Below are 22,997 nucleotides of genomic sequence, written 5' to 3'. Positions count from 1 at the left end.
CATGCTTATTTGGGGTGACTGCTGAGATCCTTAAAGGGACCAGAGTTCAAGATTAGATTAGAACCCTTCAAAATCTCGTCCAACTCTGACATTTTTAAACATAAGATACCTTTTTTCTTTTGGGAGTAAAAATTGCAATTTTAAGTAATAGCAAGGAAAAAATAGTAAGAATCATTTCTTAAAAGTGTTTTGGATTATAATCCTCCCCTTACCCCACTCCACCACACAGGAAACCTAATTTTTTTCCCTTCCTTTCATATTTGTTAGAGGGCAGTTAGTTTTTCCCTTTAACATTTAATATTCATATCAGAGGTCTCTATTTTCTTTCATTAAAGTTATGCTTTTCTTTATAACTTTCTTTTTTTTTTTTTTTTTTTTGAGACGGAGTCTCACTCTGCAGCCCAGGATGGAGTGCAGTGGCATGATCTTGACTCACTGCAACCGCCTCCCAGGTTCCAGCAATTCTCCTGCCTCAGTAGCTGGGATTACAGGTGCCCACCACCACACCCGGCTAATTTTTGTATTTTTAGTAGAGACCATGTTGGCCAGGCTGGTCTTGAACTCCTGACCTCAGGTGATCCACCCGCCTCAGCCTCCCAAAGGGCTGGGATTGGGATTACAGGCGTGAGCCACTGCACCCAGCCTTCTTTATAACTTTCTAACAAGTATTTAAACCTTCGTGAGAAAAATTTTGAACAGTATGCTAAAATTCCTGTCTATCCTTCTGACGTAGATAACAGAATCATTCTTCTTTTAAAAAAATCCATTGAGATCACCTAAGTTAACTCTGGCCTTTTATATTAATAGATAAAGAAATATCCAAAGTGGTGAGCCCTATCTAGGCAGTTATCTGAGACAGAGCCATGTTCTCAACTCCCTGCTTTTACCCTGCCTGCTGCCTCCAACTCTAACCTAGTGAACAGACAGCTTCAAGTTCATCAAGTTCAAAGCTGGACTTCAGAAGTTGAAGCTAGTTTTTGTTCAAAGAAGTGTTTCTTTGCTAGTGCCTTGATTTGCATATCAGTGGCTTTCAGCGTACAGGAGTATCCCTGGTCTATATTCCATTTTACCACAAAGCAATGGGGCATGAGAGAATGATATAACTATGTAAAGAGTTATCAGTGGATAAGAACATGAGATAACAGAGACAAAGGAAACACTGCCAAGAAATAAGCACACAGACATGGAAAATATCTATGACCCAATATCTAGAAACAGTTTACATTGAAAACAAAGATCATATTTCACTAATTTTTATTTGTAAATACCTGTTAAGTGTCCACTCATAGTTTTGTCATGACTATTGAATAATTGCCTGTATTTCAGTCTTGATGACTGAGGAACAGCCCACTCTGCCACTGGTGGGACACTGTGGGGAAAAGAAAAAGGAGAGAAAGAGGATTATCCATAAGGAACAGCCTGGTAAAGTTCCTTAATGACAGTAAACTAAGAACTTCTCTAGATAATCATCTCTAACTTTCATATTTTATTCATTTTATTATCACTACTTCTGATTTTTTTTGCCATGGGTATTTCCCATTTTTAAGATCATAAACATTTCCCTCAAATAGATAATTATTTTTCCAGAATCATGGATAAACACAATAGACTGAGAGGCTGTTTCAAGTTGTATATATAATAATTTAAAGGTTCTATAAAAGTATGAAAAACCTCTTGTAACTGAGGTAAAACAATAATGTCCAGGCTATTCTAATTTCTAAAACACTTCTTTTTTGGTTAAAAAGCAATGCTAAAAGCAAACCAATAACTGCCTTTAAAGGTACTAATTCTCCAAAATGTTTTAACTTTCTATACGTGAATATACAGGACCCATTTCTTAATGAAGTGAAATTACTCCATTCTGGTAAGTTTAAATTCAGACCCATTGGACAGTTTCCCAGAGAGAGAGAGAACAGAACATTTCCATGGTCACACATAAGCAGAGTGGGAATGGAGACAGCTTCACTTTCTCGACTACAATCCAATACTGATCTCTCCTTGCCAATGTGCCACAATCCTGAGCTGGCCCAAGGACACACTTGCCAGTAGTTAGGCTGCGTCTACACTTCCTTAGTGATTAGTTCCTCAGATGCCACTGTCCACACAAATATCACACTGGTACCAATGGCTTGTTAAGCTTCGACATCTGAATTAAACCCAATGGCTGAGCTCAGACAGTAAAACTGGCATTCCCCTTCCAGGACAGATTACAGCTAATGCTCTGTCTGCAATTTCACTTCAACAAAAATATCTATTCAAACATGTAAAAGCACAATCTTACTGAAATACTGAACTTTTTAATCATCATTTCCATGTGTTATCTATGCACTTATATCTATTATATACAGTTCAAGTATAGGAAATACCTCCCAAACACTCGAGAAGTACTTATATGAATTCACCTTTTTCAATTTTTATGAATTTCTTAATAAAAAACACTTACCATGATCTATTCTGCTGTGGGTACTTCTGCACCAACCCTCTCATGTTAACTAACTAATATTTTGCTGATTCCAACTCCCACCTATTTGTCAAGAAGCTAACTATCTAGTTGCTACACGCCAGGAATGTTGGGTGTTACATACACAAGTTGTCCCAGATTACACTTATCACATCAGAGTTTTCTGCCAAATTCCTGAGAATTTAAATAGACTAAAAACTCATGAAGATGTACCCAAAAGTTCAATACTGCATTGCAAAAATTGGCTAGAAATTTAAGTTATTAAAAAGGTGACAACATAAAACAGTTGTTTCAATAGCACTAATGTTCACTAATACTGATAGTTCATTCTAATGTCACAAATCAATAAAGCAGATTTCAAAATTGCTTCTGCAAAGTCATAATAAACTCAAAACTTCAGCATGGTATAGGAGAATTTTTTTTTTTTTTTTTTTTTTTTTTTTAAGAAAGAGACTTGCCGTGTCACCCAGGCTGGAATGCAATGCCGCGATCTCAGCTCACTGCAACCTCCACCTCCTGGATTCAAGCAATTCTCTTGCCTCAGCCTCCCGAGTAGCTGGGATTACAGGTGCCCGCCACCACGCCCAGCTAATTTTTTGTATTTTTAGTAGAGACGGGGTTTCACCATGTTGGCCAGGCTGGTCTCGAACTCCTGACCTTGTGATCTGCCCACCTTGGCCTACCAAAGTGCTGGGATTACAGGCGTGAGCCACTGCACCCAGCCCAGGAGAATTTTTTTTAAAAAGGAACTTAGTGTAAGATGATATAGGTTTAACTCTCAGCTCCACCATGCACTAAGCTGTAAACTATGGGTGAGGACTAGAGCTTCTCTGGGTGTGCTTCCTCATGCACCATCTTGAGACATCTACTGCATAGGTAGCTATGGGGTTGAATAGGATTAATGATGTGCCTGGCAAAGTAGATGCCCAATACATATTGAGGCATCTTAAGGGTAAAACCGCAATTAAATGGAACACAAATAAATACCTGTATCCTACAATTAAGTTTTTTAGAGAAAACTTGCATAGTTAAGAACACACGCCTTAAAATCAGACATCTCAGTTTGACTCAGCTCTGTCACTTATGAGTTACGTTCTGTTGCACGAGTAACATAATGTCTCTGAGCTTGTCCCTCATCTATAACAGAGAGTAACAGAATCATCTCATGGGGAAGAATGAGTTAATGTAAAGCTTTTGGCACAGTGCTTTTCAGTTTATGGATTTTCTTTAAATCATTTTTAAAAGGTAATGAAGGCATCACTGAATTATATTCAACATGCTTTTCTCTTGAAAGTGGGAAAATGACTTGATTCACTTAACAATTTCTAGTGAGGATTGACATAAGACAGGATAAATTCCAAAAGCTTTTTTTTTTTTTTTAGGCAGGCTCACCCAGGCAAGAGTGCAGTGGCACAATCACAGCTTACTGCAGCCTCGATCTCCCTGGCTCCAGCCATCCTCCCATCTCATTTTTAAATTTTTGTATCGACAAGGTCTCCCTATGTTGCCCAGGCTGGTCTCAAACTCATGAGCTCAAGCGATCCTCCTGCCTCAGCCTCTCAGAGTGCTGGGATTACAGGTGTGAGCCACCACACCCGGCCCAAAAGTTCTGAGATGGCTTAAAAGAGACTTAATTTCTCTTCTTAATGTAGCAGTATGCAAGGGTAAAACATAGGAGTAAAATAAAAATATGAAAGGTAATAATTGAAACCAAGGTTGGCCAAAACATAAGCAATAATGTCATGTCAGCTTTAATAAAATTGAGCCACACATTTGATTAATGTGAATTGTCCACTATCTGGATAATTCTTTTCATAATAAATCGTCTTTAATAGGATTTTACTAATTACCCATATAAACTCCACAAGATTATCTGAGATAGAATTAAAAATAAGGCCAACTATAACTCCAATCTTCATACAAAAATTTTATACATAAACTTGTAAATCATAAACACATAAAATAGTTCATTTGCTTTTTTCCCTTATACCCAGAATTTTATCTTACTGTTTTTAAACATTTTATTACTATCCATTTGTTATCCTCTTTAAAAAAAAAAAAATACACAAAGCCTTTAAGGAAATGTTATGTCCTTGATTTCTCTCATCTCTGCAACAAATTAATGATAAAAACTAGTGACACTATCCAGAAATTAAGAAAATTATTATTAGCACTCTACAAAAGCCTACAAAAAAGATGACAACAACAAAAAGAATATAGATGATTCATGGTCAAATTTATGATTTAATCAGGTAATGGCCTTAACCAAACTTCCCATTTAAAAACAAGCAAACTTACCTGGCCACATCAAATGACTGTGCCTTTTGTAATTTAGTGTTTAGTTGTGACCCTGGACCAGATCTACTAAAGGAAGAACTCTTTGGCAATGTGGCTGCTGTAAAAATAAATGTTGAATAATTTTAATTCTACAAAGATAAGAAACTTTCCCCAATTTACAAAAATTAAAATGCACAGTCAACAAATCTGAGGCAGAAATAATTCCCCCTTCTTGCCAGCCTAGACTGAAAAGAGCTTTTCCCTCCTTACCCTCTGTCCTCCTGCCAAAAAGGTTTCTAGATTTACTTGTTCTACTGAAAATCACCTTACTATGTAGTAATGCTGATTTCCATAAAATTTTACTCTTCATTAAACATTTTGTATCACATTTTATAGGACCTATTCCAACAGTTAAAGAGGTAACAGCTTAAATATATAAAATGGTATTTTATTCACTGCACTGAAGGAGCTGAAGTATTAGTTCCAGATGTAAGAGCCAAGAAGTCACAAACTGTAGTCTTGGCCAGATAACATGTGACACTAGGGAAGGTCAGCTTTTGTGTCTGATTATCACTGGGGTTGGTTAGTTGAGTGTCAGAAAAAAAACACTGCGTCTTAGCCACATTCCCTCACTCTTGCCTGATGGCAAATGACTTGCAACATGTGCCATTAGTCACAAAAGAATAGAAGACTCAGAGTGTGTGGATTTGCTTATGCTCCTGGAAAAACAACTGCACACACTTTCTGGGCTACCATCATGTCCACAGTCATGGTCATATATGCAAGATGAACTACATGTGACAAGAAAAAATCTAAAAAAAGGAGATACATTTAGCTTATTTGGCCATAACTTAAATATATATCCTGATAAATATACAACAAATTCAGGGGGCCAAAGGCGCAGAAATGTTTCAAGTATGATGCTAAAACCCATGTCGTCAATACTGAATTTACTTAGATGTAGTCAAAGTACTTTAAAAATAATACTTTCCATATTGATATGAATTCATTAAGATGTTAGACCAAGGCTATCTACATCTACAGTTTTATACTTTAACTAAAGGAAAAAAGACTTAATAAAGTCTCAAAGTGGAATTAATTAAACCAGAAACTTTTAAATCCTTTCCTTCAATTAAGCAGGCATGTAATACCATAAAATAGTATAAACTGTTCTTTTTTATTCTTTCCCACAACCCCCAACATAGTTCTATTCCTAGGGGATTGGCTTGCTTATTAGCAATTCATAGTGGCTAAAGAAAAGTAGTAACTGATACATAAAAATAGAAAATGTTCAACTACAGTTCAACTTCAATTGCTCTTCTCAGCCCTTGAAAGAAAATTACATTTGTGGCTTTCACTGCTGAGCTCACCTTTGTCCACAGTGGTACCCAGAAATCTATAATTCTCTTTGACTCTCTCCACACTAACATATCCCATTTAATACAGTGGAAAAAATGTGAAATCAAGTGAAAAAAATAAAGATATTTTCCTCTGGACTAAAATATCATTTAAACATAATCAGAACGTGAAGAGAAAATATTTTAATAATGAACAGCAAAATACAAGTAGTAAAAACTCAGCCTATGGTTTCAGCAAGTCACATACCAGGATGAGCAAATGCAGGCAGAGGTTGTATAACAGGGGGAGCCCCGTTAGCCAGGGGGGGCACAGCTGCTGTGGGAACAGAAGATACTAGGGTTGGAGACATTCCAACAACTGGAATGGATCCCATTGGCACTGGAGCAACAGCTGTAAGCGGTGGCATGCTGGCGATACCTCCCATACCTATGAAGAAAAAACAGCTCAACACCATTCACATCCAATCACATTTCAACACTGAATAATAATTAACCCAGTACTGCTTAAAGAAAATCACTTTCCAGCTGTAATATATTCCAATTAAAATAGGGCTTCAAGTTAATCATTTTAAAGAGTAACAAAAATTATGTCAAGGATCACATCAAAAGGACTCAAGACTCAACCTGAAGACAGAACAAACAAGATGAGAATCAAAAAGAATAATAACTGCAGTGGACTTAAAGGCTCAAATATAATTAAATCCATGAGTTCAAAATGATATTTAAAAATAAATAAAATCCTAACTGGTCAAAAAAGGAGGACACTAAGGCAATCAATTTACTACTTTGAAAACTAGTAAATAAAAGGTAGAAAAATCAAACTGCAACCTGCCTTTCCTATGTTTATTATACCTCAGGGAAACCACATGTTTGATGGGGAAAGCATCTTTATTCATTTTCTTTTCTTTTTTCTTTTCTTTTTTTTTTTGAGATGGAGTCTCGCTCTGTCACCCAGGCTGGAGTGCAGTGGCGTGATCTTGGCTCACTGCAACCTCCACCTCCCGAGTTCAAGTGATTCTCCTGCCTCAGTCTCCTGAATAGCTGGGATTACAGGTGCCCACCACCATGCCCGGCTATTTTTACATTTTTAGTAGAGATGAGGTTTCACCATGTTGGCCAGGATGGTCTCAAACTCCTGACCTCAGGTGATCCACCTGCCTTGGCCTCCCAAAGTGCTGGGATTACAGGCATGAGCCACTGTGCCTGGCCCTGGAAGCATCTTTATACAAAAATATTCTAACCAATAAAGAAGAAATGATAAAACAAAAATAAATGTTTCCAGCTGGGCACAGTGGCTTATGCCTGTAAACTCACTACTTTGGAAGGCCAAGGCAGGAAGATCTCTTGAGGGCAGGAGTCCAAAACCAGACAGGGCAACATAGCAAAATCCCATCTCTACAAAAAATTTTAAAAATTAGCCAGGCATGGTGGTACCCGCCTGTAGGCCTAGCTACATGGAAGGCTGAGGTGGGAGGATCACTTATGCCGAAGAGGTTGAGGCTACAGTGAGCCACAATCACACCGCAGTACTCCAGCCTGGGCAATACAGTGAGATCCTTGTCTCAAAAAAAAAAAAAAAAGTAAAAAAGCTTACCTTCTTTTTTATTTCTCTGTCCCAACTTTAATACCTTCTTTCATGTGGAGTAAATAAATTTTAGTGTTTAAATGCCCCCTATTGATTTTTTTTAAATATTTTTGTTTGTTTGAGACAAGATCTCACTCTGTTGCCCAAGCTAGAGTGAAATGGCATGATCATAGCTCACTGTAGCCTTCACCTTCTGGGCTCAAGCGATCGTCCCAGCTCAGCCTCCCAACTTGCTGGAACCACAGGTGTGCATCCCTACACCCAGTTTCATATATATATATACGTGTATTTTTTTTTTTGGTGGGGCGGTAGAGATGAGGTCTTACTATGTTGCCTGAGCTCGTCTCGAACTTCTGGGCTCAAGTGATCGTCCTGCCTCAGCCTCTCAAAGTGCTGGGATTACAAGCGTGAGTCACCATGTCTGACCTTTACTATTTTTTAAAAGTAAATTTTCTTTTCAACCTGAGAGAGCTAACTGAAAAGAGTATTATTACATAATAATAGTAATTAAAATTTTCTTTTTTTTCTTTTATTATTAGAGATAAGGTCTCACTCTCACCCAGGCTGAAGTACAGTCACGTGATCACAGCTCACTGTAACCTTGAACTCCTGGGCTCAGGGGATTCTTTTGCCTCAGCCTCCAAGTAGCTGGGACTATAGACACGCACCACCAAATGCAGCTAAGTTTTTATTTTTTTGTAGAGACAGGGTCTTGCTATGTTACTCAGTCTGGTCTCAAACTCCTGGCCTCAAGCCTCTCACGGTGCTGGGATTACAGGGCTGAGCCACTGTATGCATCCAAAAGTAATTTTCTATGTGGTTGTTGTAGGGATTAAAATCTCCAAATTAATTTATCATAATCAACTTCTAATGGCAGAATATAGAAACTTTACACAAATATAGCTCAATTCCCTTTCTCCTCTTCTGTGCTATTACTGTCACATACATTATAATATGTTATAAGCCCAATAATAGAGTTATAATTATTACTTTATACAATCTTATATCTTTTAAACTTGAGAGAAAAGAAGAAAAATAGATTTATGTGGTCTTCTAAATTAACCTACATATTTACCATTTTTGATGCTCTTCATTTCTTTCCATATATTAAAGTTACCACCTTTTGTCATTTCATTTCATCCTGAAAGTCTTCATTTAGTATTTCTTCTAAGGTAGGTCTAGTAGCAATGAATTCTCTCAGTCTTTGTTTATTTGAAAAAGTCATTATTTCACCTTCATTTTTAAATGATAGTTTTGCTGAATATAGAATTTTGGGTTGAATTTTTTCTTGCGGCATTTTGAATATTCCACTGCCTTCTAACCTCCATTGTTTTCAATTACAAGTCTGCTGTTATTTATATCTATGCTCCCCTATCCATGATGAGTTGCTTTTCTCTTGCTGCTTTCAAGGTTTTATCTCTGTGTTTGGCTTCCGTAGGTTAACTATGATGTGTCTGGGTGTAGATCTCTTTGTATTTACCCTACTTGAGGTGTGTTGAGCTTTTGATTGTGTAGACTATTGCTTTTCACCAAATTTGGCAAGTGTTTGGCTTTTATTCTTCAAATATTTTTCTGTACCTTTCTCTCATGATCCTCCTTCTAAGACTCCCATGACACACATATTGGTAAACTTGGTCTTGTTCCATAAGTCTCTGAAACTTTGTTATTTTTTTTCAATCTTTTTGTTCCATATTCTTCAGATTGAATAATTTCTATTGATTAATCTTCAACTTCACTGACTCTGTCTTCTGCTATCTTGAATCTGCTATTAAGACCCTGTGGTAAATTTTTCATTTTAGTTATTGAACTTTTCAGGTTTTGTTTTTGTTTTGAGACAAGGCCTCACTCTGTTGCCCAGGCTGGAGTGCAGTGGCGTGGTCTTGGCTCACTGCAGCCTCCACTTCCCGGGTTCAAGTTATTCTCCTGCCTCAGACTCCCCAATAACTGGGATTACAGGCATCTGCCACCACGCCCAGCTAATTTCTGCATTTTTAGTAGAGACGGGGTTTCGTCATGTTGGCCAGACTGGTCTCCAACTTCTAACCTCGGGTGATCCGCCCACCTCAGCCTCCCAAAGAGCTGGGATTACAGCCGTGAGCCACCGCTCCCAGCCTTAGTTATTGAACTTTCCTTTTTTTTTCTGTGACAGAGTTTCACTCTTGTTTCCCAGGCTGGAGTATAATGGCGCAATTTCGTCTCACTGTAACCTCTGCCTCCCGGCTTCAAGGGATTCTCCTGCTTCAGCCTCCCACATAGCTGGGATTATAGGCGCCTGCCATCATGTCCAGCTAATTTTTTGTATTTTCAGCAGAGACGGGGTTTCATCATGTTGGCCAGGTGGGTCTCGAACTCTCTACCTCAGGTGATCCACAGGCCTCGGCCTCCCAAAGTGCTGGGATTACACGTGTGAGCCACTGTGGCCGGCCAGTTATTGAACTTTTCACATCAATTGTCATACTTTTCTAGAATTTCAATTTTCCTCTTTTTTGTAATTTCTATTGTTTTTTGGAGAGTGTCTGTCTGTTGATTCATTTCCACGTTTTCCTTTAGTTCTTCAGTTCTTTGAACGTAATTGCTGCTTTGAAGCCTTTGTCTGCTAAATGAATCCAACAGCTGGATCAGAGATAGTTCCTACTGACTGCCTCTTTTCTTGAGGGTGAGACAATACTTTCCTGTTATTTTTTAATGTCTCAAATTTAGGTGAAAATGGACATTCAGATAATACATTGTAGCTACTCTGGCTCTGATTTTCCCCCTGAAGGTTGTTGTTTCTATCTTTATTTAGTAACCGGCATAGGCTAATTCAGAAAAATCTGTCTTCCCTTGTTGTGCAGCCCCTGATGGTTCTGCTCAGTTGGGTTTTTAAAAAATTCGTTTTTATCTTTAAGCCTGGCTTTTTACGGATTGCACCTGCATCTTTGTAGCACAGTAGTCAGCCAATGATGGGACGGAAGTTGTGCTCAAACACCTCAAGTCAGTAAGGCTTCCTTTCTCTGACAATCTGTCAGCACAAAAATGCATTCAAAGTTCAGACCATTTTAAAGTCTTCCTCAACTTTAACATTTCACAGGGCCTTTCTGCATATTCTCTATACGTGCATGCAGTTTGAGGGCTAGTCAGGAGTTTGCAGCTGACTCGGGCCCACCCTGGTCTCCGCGACACATGTGCATAGCCTCAGCCAAGAATATACTTGCCCTGGCCATGACCACGAGTTCAGGATAATAGAGTGGCTGGTCATACCTGCTCTTCTGTGGCCAGAATTGTCATTTCCACTGACAAAGCTGCTGGGCACAGGCATGACTTCCCACTCCCAAAGCAAGTAAGCCCCCTTCAGTGACAGCAGTTAAGACTGCTAATATTTACAACCTGTCCCTCCACATTACCAAGCTGAAGTGTTGGGGGATAGGAAAATGCCCAGGAAAGAATGCAACAGACTTCTGCTTCATATCTGAAGCTCAGCAGCTTTTCAGGCATAAATGATTCTCAGATGTTATATACCTTTGGTTAATTTCCAGAGCACTGAAATGGTTATTCTGTCAATTCTGCCCTTGAGGGAAGAATTTGCTCATCTCAACTCAGGCATGGTCGGAAATCTCACTGCTGAAATGTCTTTTAGGTTTCCTTTAATCCACAGTCCCCTCTCCATCCTTTTCATTTTCTTTTCTGTTGAAAGACCCAGGCCATGTGACCTGTGGAGTTTCCCAGTCTGGATTTTGCTGATTGCATTCTCATGGTGCGGTTCAACATTTCCCTCTATATTCTGTATTTCCTGCAAATACGCAGCTACATCCAAAGAATGGATCAAGCTGACGGTGGATCTCTTTGGCAAGACTACAGGAAACACACAAAATGTAGCTGTCTTTTTGTGATCTTGGCAGTCATTGATGCTTAACGCCTATATTTATTCATTTATGGGGAGTTGAAAATAGTGATGTTCTAATCCTACTATGTCTTTGTCATTTATTAGCTGTAATAATTTTATAAAGAGGTGCTTCTAATGAGGATATACTAGTTGGCTATCCAGTTGTACAGCTCATATACAAAAGGCATAATAAATGCCTGATTCTTTCCCTTTACCTGTTTTCAAGGTAATGAACTGGTTTCTTAGGATCTTCTTAAGGTAAATTATTCTTGTTAAATACATTATTAAATCATTATTGAGTCATAAATTTACAAATATTTATTGAGTTTTAATTCATGGCACATTATCATTCTTGAAGTTCAAACTGTCCTCTCTTTGGCCAATGTAAGCCTCTTCGGGTTGGCTTCTGAGAATTTCTGATATCCTCCTACTATGCTTTGATAACTTCCTTGCTGACCAGTATTACAAGATGGGTCCTTCAAGCTCTTCACATTTCATATCTAGACCTGGATTCAGCCATTTCTCCAAGAAACTCTGGTTTCTTTTGGTGAGAAATGATATTTCAAGTTCACAATCTGGACGCTAAGGATGCTCAGTGCTGCTGGGGTAGATGATTGTATCTAGTCTTTTCAGTGAACAGAACTAGGAGACAAATAGATGGATAGATGAAGAGAATGGGGGGTGTGGTGAGAGACGCCTTCTGAGTTCATATTAATACTTTCAATTTGAAAATTCAAATCCAAGACTATACTGCTTTTTCATTACATTTGATACTATTATATTTGTTATCTCCTTTCTTCCACACCAAGAATACAGATTTCAAAGGTATAGAAAATGACAGAATTAGACTATTCCGTAATTACTTATTTGTTTTTACCACATATCTCAGACAACAGTTTCAGAATAACAATACTAATACTAATTTCTGAATGCATTAAATTATTTTTTTGCATGCAGTCCTGCTCCCCTTAAAGTTTTATCGTATCCAATTGACAGTGCATGGGAATTACATCCGATACTCTCTCCTCCTCAGCCTTCCTTCAGTCTTAGCTCTACAGCTAACTATATATTTAGTGCTCACCATCAGTCCTTATGATGACCTAGGTCTAGCTATTTTGATTGTCTGAAGCACATTCTCTAATAGATTCCTTAAGAAAGGCTCATGTTAATATACCCCGAAGCCTTATAAATTGGTAACGTTTTGTCTGTTTTTTCTACTTGAAAGTCAGTTTTTCTGGACACAAAATCCTTGGCTTGTTCTTTCCCTGAGAATTCTAAATATGTTACTCCATTTTCTTCTAGCAGAAAGCACTGCTGTTGAAAAATCTGAACATAATCTAATTTTCCCCCTTGTAAGTCATATGCTTTCTTTTTCTACATGTCTAAATAATTTCTCCTTTAACTAGAATATATCTTAGTGTTGGACTTTTTAGATTGATATTCTTGGCCACATGATACTCTTTTAAATATAGTTTAGAATCTCTTATTTTAAGAAAGTTGTCTTGAATTCATTTTTATCATTTGTTCTATTCCATTGGTTTAGTTTTCTTCCTCAGGGACTCCTGCTGCCCATACATTCAATCTTCTTTGTCTTAAATACTTGTTACTGTTTCTCAAATTCTTTTTATATCTTTTCCATTTCCTTTTATTTATTTAGGAGACCTAGTCTCACTCTATCCCCGAGGCTGGAGTGCAGTGGTGTGATCTCAGCTTACTGCCACCTCTGCCTCCCGGGTTCAAGCGATTCTCATGCCTCAGCCTCCAAAGTAGCTGGGATTAAAGGCATGTGCCACCATACCCAGCTAATTTTTGTAATTTTAGTACAGACGGGGTTTTGCCATGTTGGCCAGGCTGGTCTTGAACTCCTGACCTCAGGTGATCCGCTCACCTCGGCCTCTTAAAGTGCTGGGATTACAGGCGTGAGCCACTGCGCCCAGCCTCATTTCCTTTTAATTTAAATTTTTTTCCTCTTTGTAACTTCTATTTTTCTTCAGTTAGTATCCCCTGTGTTGCTTCTAGTTGCATCCTCATTTCTAGAATGAATTTTTCTTTTATTTCTCATTCTTTCTGTCACCTTATTTATGAGCCTTAAAAACTCTGATTTTCATCTTTCAAGTCTTGTATCATTTTCTTATTCTCTTTGAGCTTGTTTTGAAGTAGTGATTTACTGGTGTGCTTTCACTGTCCACAGGGGTGTTATTTCTCCCTTTATTCTCCTTTTTCCTAATAATAACTTTGTGTTATTTGACCTTGCTTGACACTTTCTGCAGTGGATTTGACCTTGCTTGATACTTTCTGTTGCTCATTTTTATGTGAGCCTTGCTTCTTAGGAATTCCAGTCTCCATTCTCCTCCCCTACTTTTGTCTGGACCATCTCTTTCCTTTGTATCCATGTCCCTATACTGCTCAATTTTGATTCCACTCCCAGTCATTTTTCCTGAGTATGAAGCCCTGTCCCAAAAGGAAGGCTTGTTGGGCCAGTCTTTTGAGTTCATAGGGGCTGGACTGCTCCAAATCTCTCAGATCCTTTGTACTCACTCAGTACTGCAGAGAGCATAACCCTTTCCTATTTCTATTGCTGCTCTCAGCCTGGTTGAACTTTCTTGCAAATACCTGTTAGCTATTTTGGGGTTCTCCTGTTTCAAGTGCACCAGGTACCCTAATTCTTCCCTCTTCCTCCTGCACTGTTACAAATGTACACAATTCTGTTTTGTTTGTATTTCTTTTTACTAAGAGCATGTATTACTTGTGTAAAATTTTAAAAATAGGGCCAGGCGCGGTGGCTCACGCCTGTAATCCCAGCACTTTGGGAGGCCAAGGTGGGTGGATCTTGAGATCAGAAGTTCGAGACCAGCCTGGCCAACATGGTGAAACCCCGTCTCTACTAAAAATACAAAAATTAGCCAGGCGTGGTGGCACATGCCTGTAATCCCAGCTACCGGGGAGGCTGAGGCAGGACAATCGCTTGAACCCAGGAAGCGGAGGTTGCAGTGAGCCGAGAAGGTGCCACTGCACTCCAGCCTGGGGGACAGAGCAAGACTCCACCTCAAAAAAAAAAAAAAAAGATTTTAAAAATAGTGTTGTTGAACACAGTGGTCATCACTGGGTAACAGAATTAATAGTAATTTTTACTTTTTAAGTCTTTTTGCATTGTTGACTCGCAAGCAGCATCTATTACTTATACAGTAAGAAAATCAGACTATTTCCTTTTTTTTTTTTTTTTTTTTTGAGACGGAATCTCGCTCTGTCGCCCAGGATGGAGTGCAGTGACGCGATCTCAGCTCACTGCAAGCTCTGCCTCCAGGGTTCACGCCATTCTCCTGCCTCAGCCTCCCGAGCAGCTGGGACTACAGACACCCGCCACCATGCTTGGTTAATTTTTTTTTGTATTTTTAGTAGAGACGGAGTTTCATCATGTTAGCCAGGATGGTCTCGATCTCCTGACCTCATGATCCGCCCACCTGGGCCCCCCAAAGTGCTGGGATTACAGGCGTGAGTCACTGCGCCCGGCCTATTTTCATTTTTAAAAACAATGTTTATAGACACTGAAAATCCAACAAAGAGAAGAAAAAAATTCTAACTTGGGCTTTACTGAGTAAGTTTATAATTATAGTCATCTAGATGACTGGTTTACAGTTCACGTGCACACTATCAAGCACATTACCACACATCTCATTTGGAATCAGATTAACTTTACATATCCACACATAGCAACATGTATCAGGTTTACCTTGTCAGTTTTAGAATTCCAAAATTTTCTAAGATTATTTGATAACTATATTTTTAATGTGTTTTTCTTTTTAAAAATTTGGTTCTTTTGATAACTATACTGAATTATACTCCAAATCCTGGTTTTTGCTTAAGTAAGAATGTCAATCTACTCAAGCAACAAATAAAAATAGATGGAAACAAACCAAAAGTTTTCATGAGCCATCATTCAGACTTTCAAAAGGCTTGACACAGCATACTGCGCAACCAGTTAACCTTCAAGACACGTACCCCATCTGTGCTGCAGACCCCTAACCTAAAAGGAGGCTAACCTCAAAAAGACACTGAGGAAAAGGCCAAGTTTAAAAATACTGTTTAATCATCAGACTGGTAAAAGCATCTTTTAAGCTTCCAAATTTGTTAGAAATCTTCTCTTACATAATAATTTTTCCATTTTACAGAAAAGGAAAAATTTATTAGCTATCTATCTATCTATCTACTTACATTAAAAAAATATAAATAGGATCTCACTATGTTGCCCAGGCTGGTCCTGAACTAGGAGCCTCAAGCAATCCTCCAGCCTTGGCCTCCCAAAGTGCTGCGATTACAGGCATGAGCCACCGTGCCTGGCCTACTGTGCTTTAAATAGCCACTGCAAAAAGACTATCATCCTTTTGACAACTGACTACCTTTTCTGAATGAATGACTTTCTAAATAAATACATCTACCAGAAGCCGTATTCTGGCTGCCATCACCTCTTCCTGTGTAAGTCTTAATTCTTGAAATTCTCTCCCCTCTTCCAAGCCTCCAATCAGGATTTTGTCCCTATCACTATACTGAAACTGCTTGTCAAGGTCACTCAAAAGCTCATCACATCAAATCTAATCAGCACTGTTCTGCCATATTCTTACTCCATCTCTCAAAAGCAGCTCAAACAATGGAGCATTCCCTCCTTCTTGAAACACTTTTTCTTGGTAGCAGGACACCAATCTTCTGCCATTTCACTTTTGTCAGCCTCAGTTTCTGGCTTCTCCTCTTTTGCCTGACCTTTAAATGTCACATCACATCAAGGCTTGGGTCTACACTGTACTCCTTATAGCTAAGCTTGCCCCTAAGACATGCTCTCCATATCCAAACTGCCCCAGAGCTGATCGATCCTTCCTCTGAGCTTCAGTCAAACGTAGTCATCCCTGTCTCCTTAACATCCCAACTCGGAAATCTACTAGGACTCTCAAAATCACCAAAACTCTTAATTTCTCCTTTAAAACCATTCCTCTTCCTGTTATCCCCATCTCAGTATACACTTATACCATCCATCTAGTTATTCATGTGAAAAGCCTTAATACTCCTTTTTCATTTCTTATTTCCAATCTACTGACAAGTCCTTTTTACTTTTTTCCCAAAATACAGGCTAGAATGAATCTAATCTGTCCTCCACATTGATTATCACCACCAGATATAAATCACCATTGCCTCTTGCCCGTGGCAAAAGCCTCCTAACTGATCTCCAGGATTCCATTCTTGTCCCCTACATTCCAGTCTTCAGATAACACAGATAAGTCTATCAACCACGTCACTCTTCTGCTTAATCTGTTGTTTGCTTGCTTTTCCTTATGGTCTCCCCATGCTTCAGCTACGACGCCCCTCGCACACCTTCCAAACCCCAAGCTAGTTTTTGCCTTAGGACTTTTGCCAGTGCAGTTCCTTTAGCCTGGAAGGCCTCTCCCCTAGGTCTTCACATGGCTCTCATCATCTACATCAGTTCCAAAAGTCATCTGCTCAAAGAATTCTTCCCTGGCCATCTTGTTCTACTGGTTTCTCTCTCTCTGTCTCTCTACTATTACTCTGTTTTAATGAACTTATTGCACTTATTCTCACCTAAAAGTATTTATTTCCTTGCTCCCCACAATTTGAAAATAAGATCCACAGTGGTAGAAGCCATGAGGTCTTGCTGGCCAGCATGTTCCCAGCAACTAGGACACACAGTAGGGGCTTACAAAACACTGGTTTAATCCAATAAAACCATGTACTCTGGCAAAACAAAAACCAAGCAAAAGAAAAACAGACTCCTCCTGTATAAGCTGGGTCCAGAACAAAAGAATTATGCTGAGTGCACACTGGTGAAAGAAGGTACCAAGTCTACCCATAGAATTTCCTACAATAGAAAATTCTATTTTCAGGGTGCTCTAAGGCAAGTCACAGTATCACTGCACCCCATTTTTCTCTCTTCTCTGTAGGGGAGTTGAACAAAATCATTGTTCAGACTCCAGTCTGAGCCTTAATTCTATAGTGTGTTAACAACTACATTAAAAAATATCTGAGGCTTGGTGCCATGGCTTATGCTGTAATCTCAGCACTTTGGGAAGCCAAAATGGGAGGATTACTTGAGATTAGGAGTTTGAGACCAGCCTGGGCAAAAGAGCAAGACTCTATCTATAAAAAAAATTTTTTAATTACTTCAGTGTGGTGGTACATGCCTGTAGTCCCAGCTACACAGGAGGCTGAAGCAGGAGGAACGCTTGAGCCTAGGAGTTGGAGGCTACAGTGAGCTATGATCGTGCCATTGCACTCTAGTCTGGGCAACAGAGTGAGACCCTGTCTCAAAACAAAAAACCCATGCAGACAAGGAACCATGGAAGAGTGACACGTCATGTCACCCAGTTAGTTTGGTGATAATGAAGGCACGGAGAAGGTAATTTTAAAAAACCTAAAGCCATCCGGGTGCGGTGGCTCATGCCTGTAATGCCAGGAGTTTGGGAGGCCGAGGCGGGTGGATCACAAGGTCAGGAGTTCAAGACCAGCCTGGCCAAGATGGTGAAACCCCGTCGCTACTAAAAATAGAAAAATTAGCCGGGTGTGGTGGTGGGTGCCTGTAATCCCAGCTACTCGGGAGGCTGACGAAGGAGAATTGCTTGAACTCGAGAGGCGGAGGTTGCAGTGAGCCGAGATCATGCCACTGCACTCCAGCCTGGGCGACAGAGTGAGACTCCATCTCGCCTTTAGATAAATGGTAGCTTTGGACAGGTTCTATCTCCTTTGTTAGAAATATGGCCTTAAGCAAAATGTTCAATTTCTGAGAATCTCAGTTCCCTCATTTATATAACAGGGCTAATACAGTCTGCATACTTTTTAGGGTTATCATTGTGATCAAATATTATATGTGAAGGCACATACTATATATAAGGGCAAGGAAATGCAGAGTCAGATTTTTGTTTTGTTTTGTTTTTTGAGATAGGGTCTGGCTCTGTCACCCAGGCTGGAGTGCAGTGGCACGATCTCCCTTGGCTCACTGCAACCTCCACCTCCTGGGCTCAAGCCATCCCCTTGCCTCAGCCTCCCAAGCAGTTAGGACTACAGGCACACACCACCATACCCAGCTAATTTTTGTATTTTTTGTAGAGATGGGGTTTTGCCATGTTTCCCAGGTTGGTCTCAAACTCCTGAGCGCAAGCGATCTGCCCACCTCGGCCTCCCAAAGTGCTGAGATTACAGGTATGAGCCACCACACCTAACCAATAATTTTCAATATTAATTAGAAAGCAGGCCAGGTGCAGTGGCTCATCCTGTAATGCCAACACTTTGGGAGGCTGAGGTGGGTGGATCACCTGAGGTCAGGAATTCAAGACCAGCGTGACCAACATGGTGGAACCCTGTCTCTATTAAAAATACAAAAATTAGCTGGGTGTTGCGGCATGTCCCTGTAGTCCCAGCTACTCGGGAGGCTGAGACAGGAGAACTGCTTGAACCCGGGAGGCAGAGGTTGCAGTGAGCCAAGATCATGCTACTGCACTCCAGCCTGGGCGACTAAGTGAGAGTCTGTCTCAAAATAAATAAATAAATAAATAAAACAATGACAATAGTAATAAATTATTTTATTCTCAAGTGGCTCAACAAACTATAAAATATATATATGTATTTTACCCTAGATTGAGCTGAGAGGTAGAACTAGAAAATACTTAAGTAAACTTGATCAAGATCATATACTGGTAACTTCTCCTATGTTCTGATATCCTTCATGGTTTAGCCTCATCAAAATCATTTACTGAGAACATCAATGTGGTGAGGAAAGACAGGGAGAAGTCTGGGGGGAAGAGTGATGGGCTGCCTGGCAGAGTATTAGGTCAGAAATCCTGGCAGGTTTAACAGTAGCAGGTTACTTAACGACTGTAAAACTTTCTCAGCAGTAAGGTCACAACCTCCTGAAACTAAATCAGCAATAGCTCCACAACTGAAATTCTGATGGCAGAATGGAATAAGAGAAAATGAATTAAATGGTACAGGAAAAATTATTGACCCCAGGTTTGAGAGAAAAAGGAGAAATGGGGTGCCTCTAGTCATTTGACCTTTTCTCCACTATGAGATTTCTTCTTGTAGCATTGGAAGAAAGCCAAAAGAAAACCAAATACCGTTGTTTTTTGTTTTTGTTTTTTAAGACAGGGTATCACTTTGTCACCCAGGCTGGGGTGCAGTAGTGTGATCTTGGCTCACTGCAGGCTTGACCTCTTGTGCTCAAGTGATCCTCTTGTCTCAGCTTCCCAAGTGGCTGGGACTATAGGCACCCACCACTATGCCTGGTTAATTTTTAAATTTTCAGTAGCAACGAGGCCTTGTTATGTTGCCAGGCTGGTCTCCAACACCTGGGACCAAGCAATCCTCCTGCTTTGGCCTCCCAAAGCATTAGGATTACAGGCATGAGCCACTGTGTTCGACCCCAAACACCCTTGAATTATTTTAACGCCTGGGTCCTGACCAAAGATTGGCTACAGAGATCTTCAGGGATTCAGAGCAAGTTCCACTTAAATTAGCTGGTTAACTAAAGGCTAAACATTGTGAGCACACACTGGACAAGACAAACAACGGCCCCAGTCATGTGGAGGCTGCTGCAGTGTTCACTTCTGCTCTTCCTCGCCTTTGCTCATATATGGATTTTTCTTTCTTTTCTTGGACCACTATCCTATTTGCCTAAAAATCTTCCAAAACCTTTCCCCTTACAAAAACCAGCCTTGTGGCTAAAACTTACTAAAAGAAAGGCAATACATTGTTTTTAATAGGAAACCTAGTAAGTAAAACCAGAGTATTTCTGTATCTTAGCTTATCATTAATTATATCAGAGACACCCTGAATTACTGTTGACTGCCCCCTCCGAAATCTATTTCACTTTATCACCTATCATCAGCTATCTGAGGATGAAGAGATGAAAAGAAACTCTAGCCACAATTTTCATGTTTTGTTTTAAACTGTTAAAGAACCTCCCCATGAATCAGATGTTAGATTTTATTACTGTGATCTTCAAATTAACCTAAAGTCTAGAATGAGAACAGAAATCAGAACTACTGATCTCAGTCAACTAATTAATCAATTAGCTTATAAGAAAAATACCTGGTTGAAAGATAATTTTTTATGGAATCACGTTTGTTTTGAGACGAAGTCTTGCTCTGTCGCACAGGCTGGAGTACAGTGGCACAATTTTGGCTCACTGCAGCCACTGCCTCCCAGGTTCTCCTGCCTCAGCCTCTCCGAGTAGCTGGGATTACAGGTGCGCACCACCACACCTGGCTAATTTTTTATATTTTCAGTAGAGATGGGATTTCGCCATGTTGACCAGGCTGGTCTCGAACTCCTGACCTCAGGTGATCCACCTGCCTCAGCCTCCCAAAGTGCTGGGATTAGAGGTGTAAGCCACCATGCCCGGCTGGAATTAGGTTTTTAATCAGGATAACAATGTTTATTTTTTCTCTATTCCATTTTGTTCTAAGAAAGAATTTAATGTGGCCAAGTGACTCAGTACTGTGATTCAAAATATATATATTTCTAGATGCCATAATCCAAAGGAATTGTTTATGCACAAGGAGAAACAGACATTATGGAAACCGAAAATCAAAAGGAAGTATGCAACAACCTGAAGGATAATGGAAGAGAAAAAAAAAAAAAAACCCAGAAGCTGCAGCAGCGGACTGTAAGTTTCTTCCTTTTCCCCTGACTGGCGGCCTGCATCTCTGCTTTCATTTTGATTACTTTACATCCCAGGGTTCAAATGTGAACATGCTCCTTCTTCTCCCCAGCACTATCTTCCTGCAGGGGGCCATCATTTTTCAGACAGAATTACCTCCTAGAATTTCATAATGTTATAAACCGAGAGGGAAAAAAAGGAAAACATTTATTTTTAAAATATACAAGAAAATACAGAAACCAATTCATTTTCAGACTTACCAAATGCTGGTGCGCTAGAAATAGCAACTGGTTGCTGTTTCATGACAGGGGGAAGTGCAGAGGGTAGCTGATATCCTTGTAGCTTCAGTTTGATAAGTTTCATAGCTATGGAAAACTCCACTTGATCCATTCTTCCATCATTATTCATGTCAGCTAGTGCCCTGCAAACCAACAGCATGGCCTGAGAACAACTGTGACCATAAAAGAACCTTTCCAAAACCACCACTCCCACCAACACGAAAACAAAATAATTAGCACTCTTACCCCTAGAGACAACAACAGAAAACATAACTGTTTACCAAACTATGGGGAATAGCCTGTAAATACTGGCCAAGTTTTATATAAACATAAAATATCTTTCACTCTGCCACTTTAGCAGGTAATTTTCAGCCTCAGTGTGAGGATTTGTACTTTAGACATCAAAAGGGGTTTCTTTCTGAAGTGATGAAAACATTCTAAAATTAGCTAATAGTGACTGTCGCACAACTCTGTGAATAAACTAAAACCAATGAATTAGATACTTTAAACGAGTAAATTTTATTATGTGAATTCTTTCACAATAAAGCTATTAGAAAAGAAAAAGATTTAGAAGCGGAATGTTAATATTGCTAGAGATACTTAGATTGCATTCTTTGTAGAGCTCTACAAACCTCAATGTGGGAACATGACACAGTATGCTATGCTACCTACTTATGCTATGCTAGGGTTACTCAACTATAATGCTACTAAACCTCTAAAGCTCTTGAAACTAACTTTTCTTTAGAATCATGCCCCATATCACTCAACAATTTTGTAAGTTAGCTTACAAAATGTGTCTGCTATTTGAAAATGGTACTCAAATATACACGGTCCAAGTGCAAACTGTAATGAGCTTTAATGTAAAGTATTTTCTCAAAGAAGAGTAAGCAAAAGGAATCGCTTCTCGGCCTTTTGGCTAAGATCAAGTAAGCAAAAGTTTGTCCTTGTAACTGGAAACTACATTATATCATCAAAACTGTGCATATTCATGACTTAACCTCTTCTGCATAAAAAAGTTTTATTCAGATTTTATTTCTTTTAATCCAGATATTAAAAGCATGAGGATTTTTTTAAACCAATATTATGAAAAATGTATTTGAAAGATCTAAATAAGACAGTTCAATTAAAATACCATGATCTTTTAGACTGAGCCATATCCGGACAGTGTTCACAAAAGAAAATTAAGTTACACAGAAAACAATTCTGCATAGCTGGAATTAACTCAAAGAAAGAAAACATGTAACACAATAAAAAGTATGGCATAAGACAAAGATAAAAAAATCTCTAAAAGTGATCAAGATTGTAAAAGTTGGCACATTTTAGAAAATAAGGATCATAACGCAGGAAACAAAGCTCTGTGGTTGCAGAAACCTTTTTGCCTCAGATAGGAGTTCCCCATTCTCCTGTAGTCATGGGCCCTTCAGCAAAGAATTCAGAATCTGAATTCTTCTCACTACTTGTGAACCTGAGCATCATTTTTCTGTATTTCGTGGCCATTTGGATTTGCACTTCTATGAA

General features: G+C 39.3%; 1 protein-coding gene across 30 annotated transcripts in view, besides 1 other annotated feature; it reads right to left on the bottom strand.

Annotated features, from left to right (window-relative positions):
• The window catches only part of ITSN1 (intersectin 1), a 257,361-nt gene that overhangs the window by 143,196 nt on the left and 91,168 nt on the right, over window positions 1-22,997 (bottom strand). For 19 of the 30 annotated variants that reach the window (XM_017028428.2, NM_003024.3, XM_017028431.3 and 16 more), the window contains 4 exons: window positions 21,462-21,622; window positions 6,344-6,523; window positions 4,760-4,856; window positions 1,269-1,369 (listed from right to left, as the gene is read on the bottom strand). In XM_017028428.2, the coding sequence (XP_016883917.1) occupies window positions 1,269-1,369; window positions 4,760-4,856; window positions 6,344-6,523; window positions 21,462-21,622 (539 nt within the window). The remainder of the gene's footprint in view (window positions 1-1,268; window positions 1,370-4,759; window positions 4,857-6,343; window positions 6,524-21,461; window positions 21,623-22,997) is intronic. The other 11 variants (XM_017028429.3, XM_017028435.3, XM_017028430.3 and 8 more) reach the window with 1 other exon arrangement.
• Window positions 14,371-14,473: a silencer, noted in NCBI's record as "fragment chr21:35114498-35114600 (GRCh37/hg19 assembly coordinates)". NCBI's record gives its function as "represses an EF-1alpha promoter that drives an FKBP-Casp9 reporter gene in an ReSE screen in phorbol 12-myristate 13-acetate-treated (for megakaryocytic differentiation) K562 erythroleukemia cells {active_cell/tissue: K562(+PMA)}" and the evidence as "EXISTENCE:reporter gene assay evidence [ECO:0000049][PMID:32094911]".

The sequence above is a fragment of the Homo sapiens genome, chromosome 21, assembly GCF_000001405.40.
Source record: "Homo sapiens chromosome 21, GRCh38.p14 Primary Assembly".
NCBI classification, from domain to species: domain Eukaryota; kingdom Metazoa; phylum Chordata; class Mammalia; order Primates; family Hominidae; genus Homo; species Homo sapiens.
The sequence above is the reverse complement of the archived record's forward strand: the minus strand, read 5'-3'. Positions and strand labels throughout refer to the sequence as shown.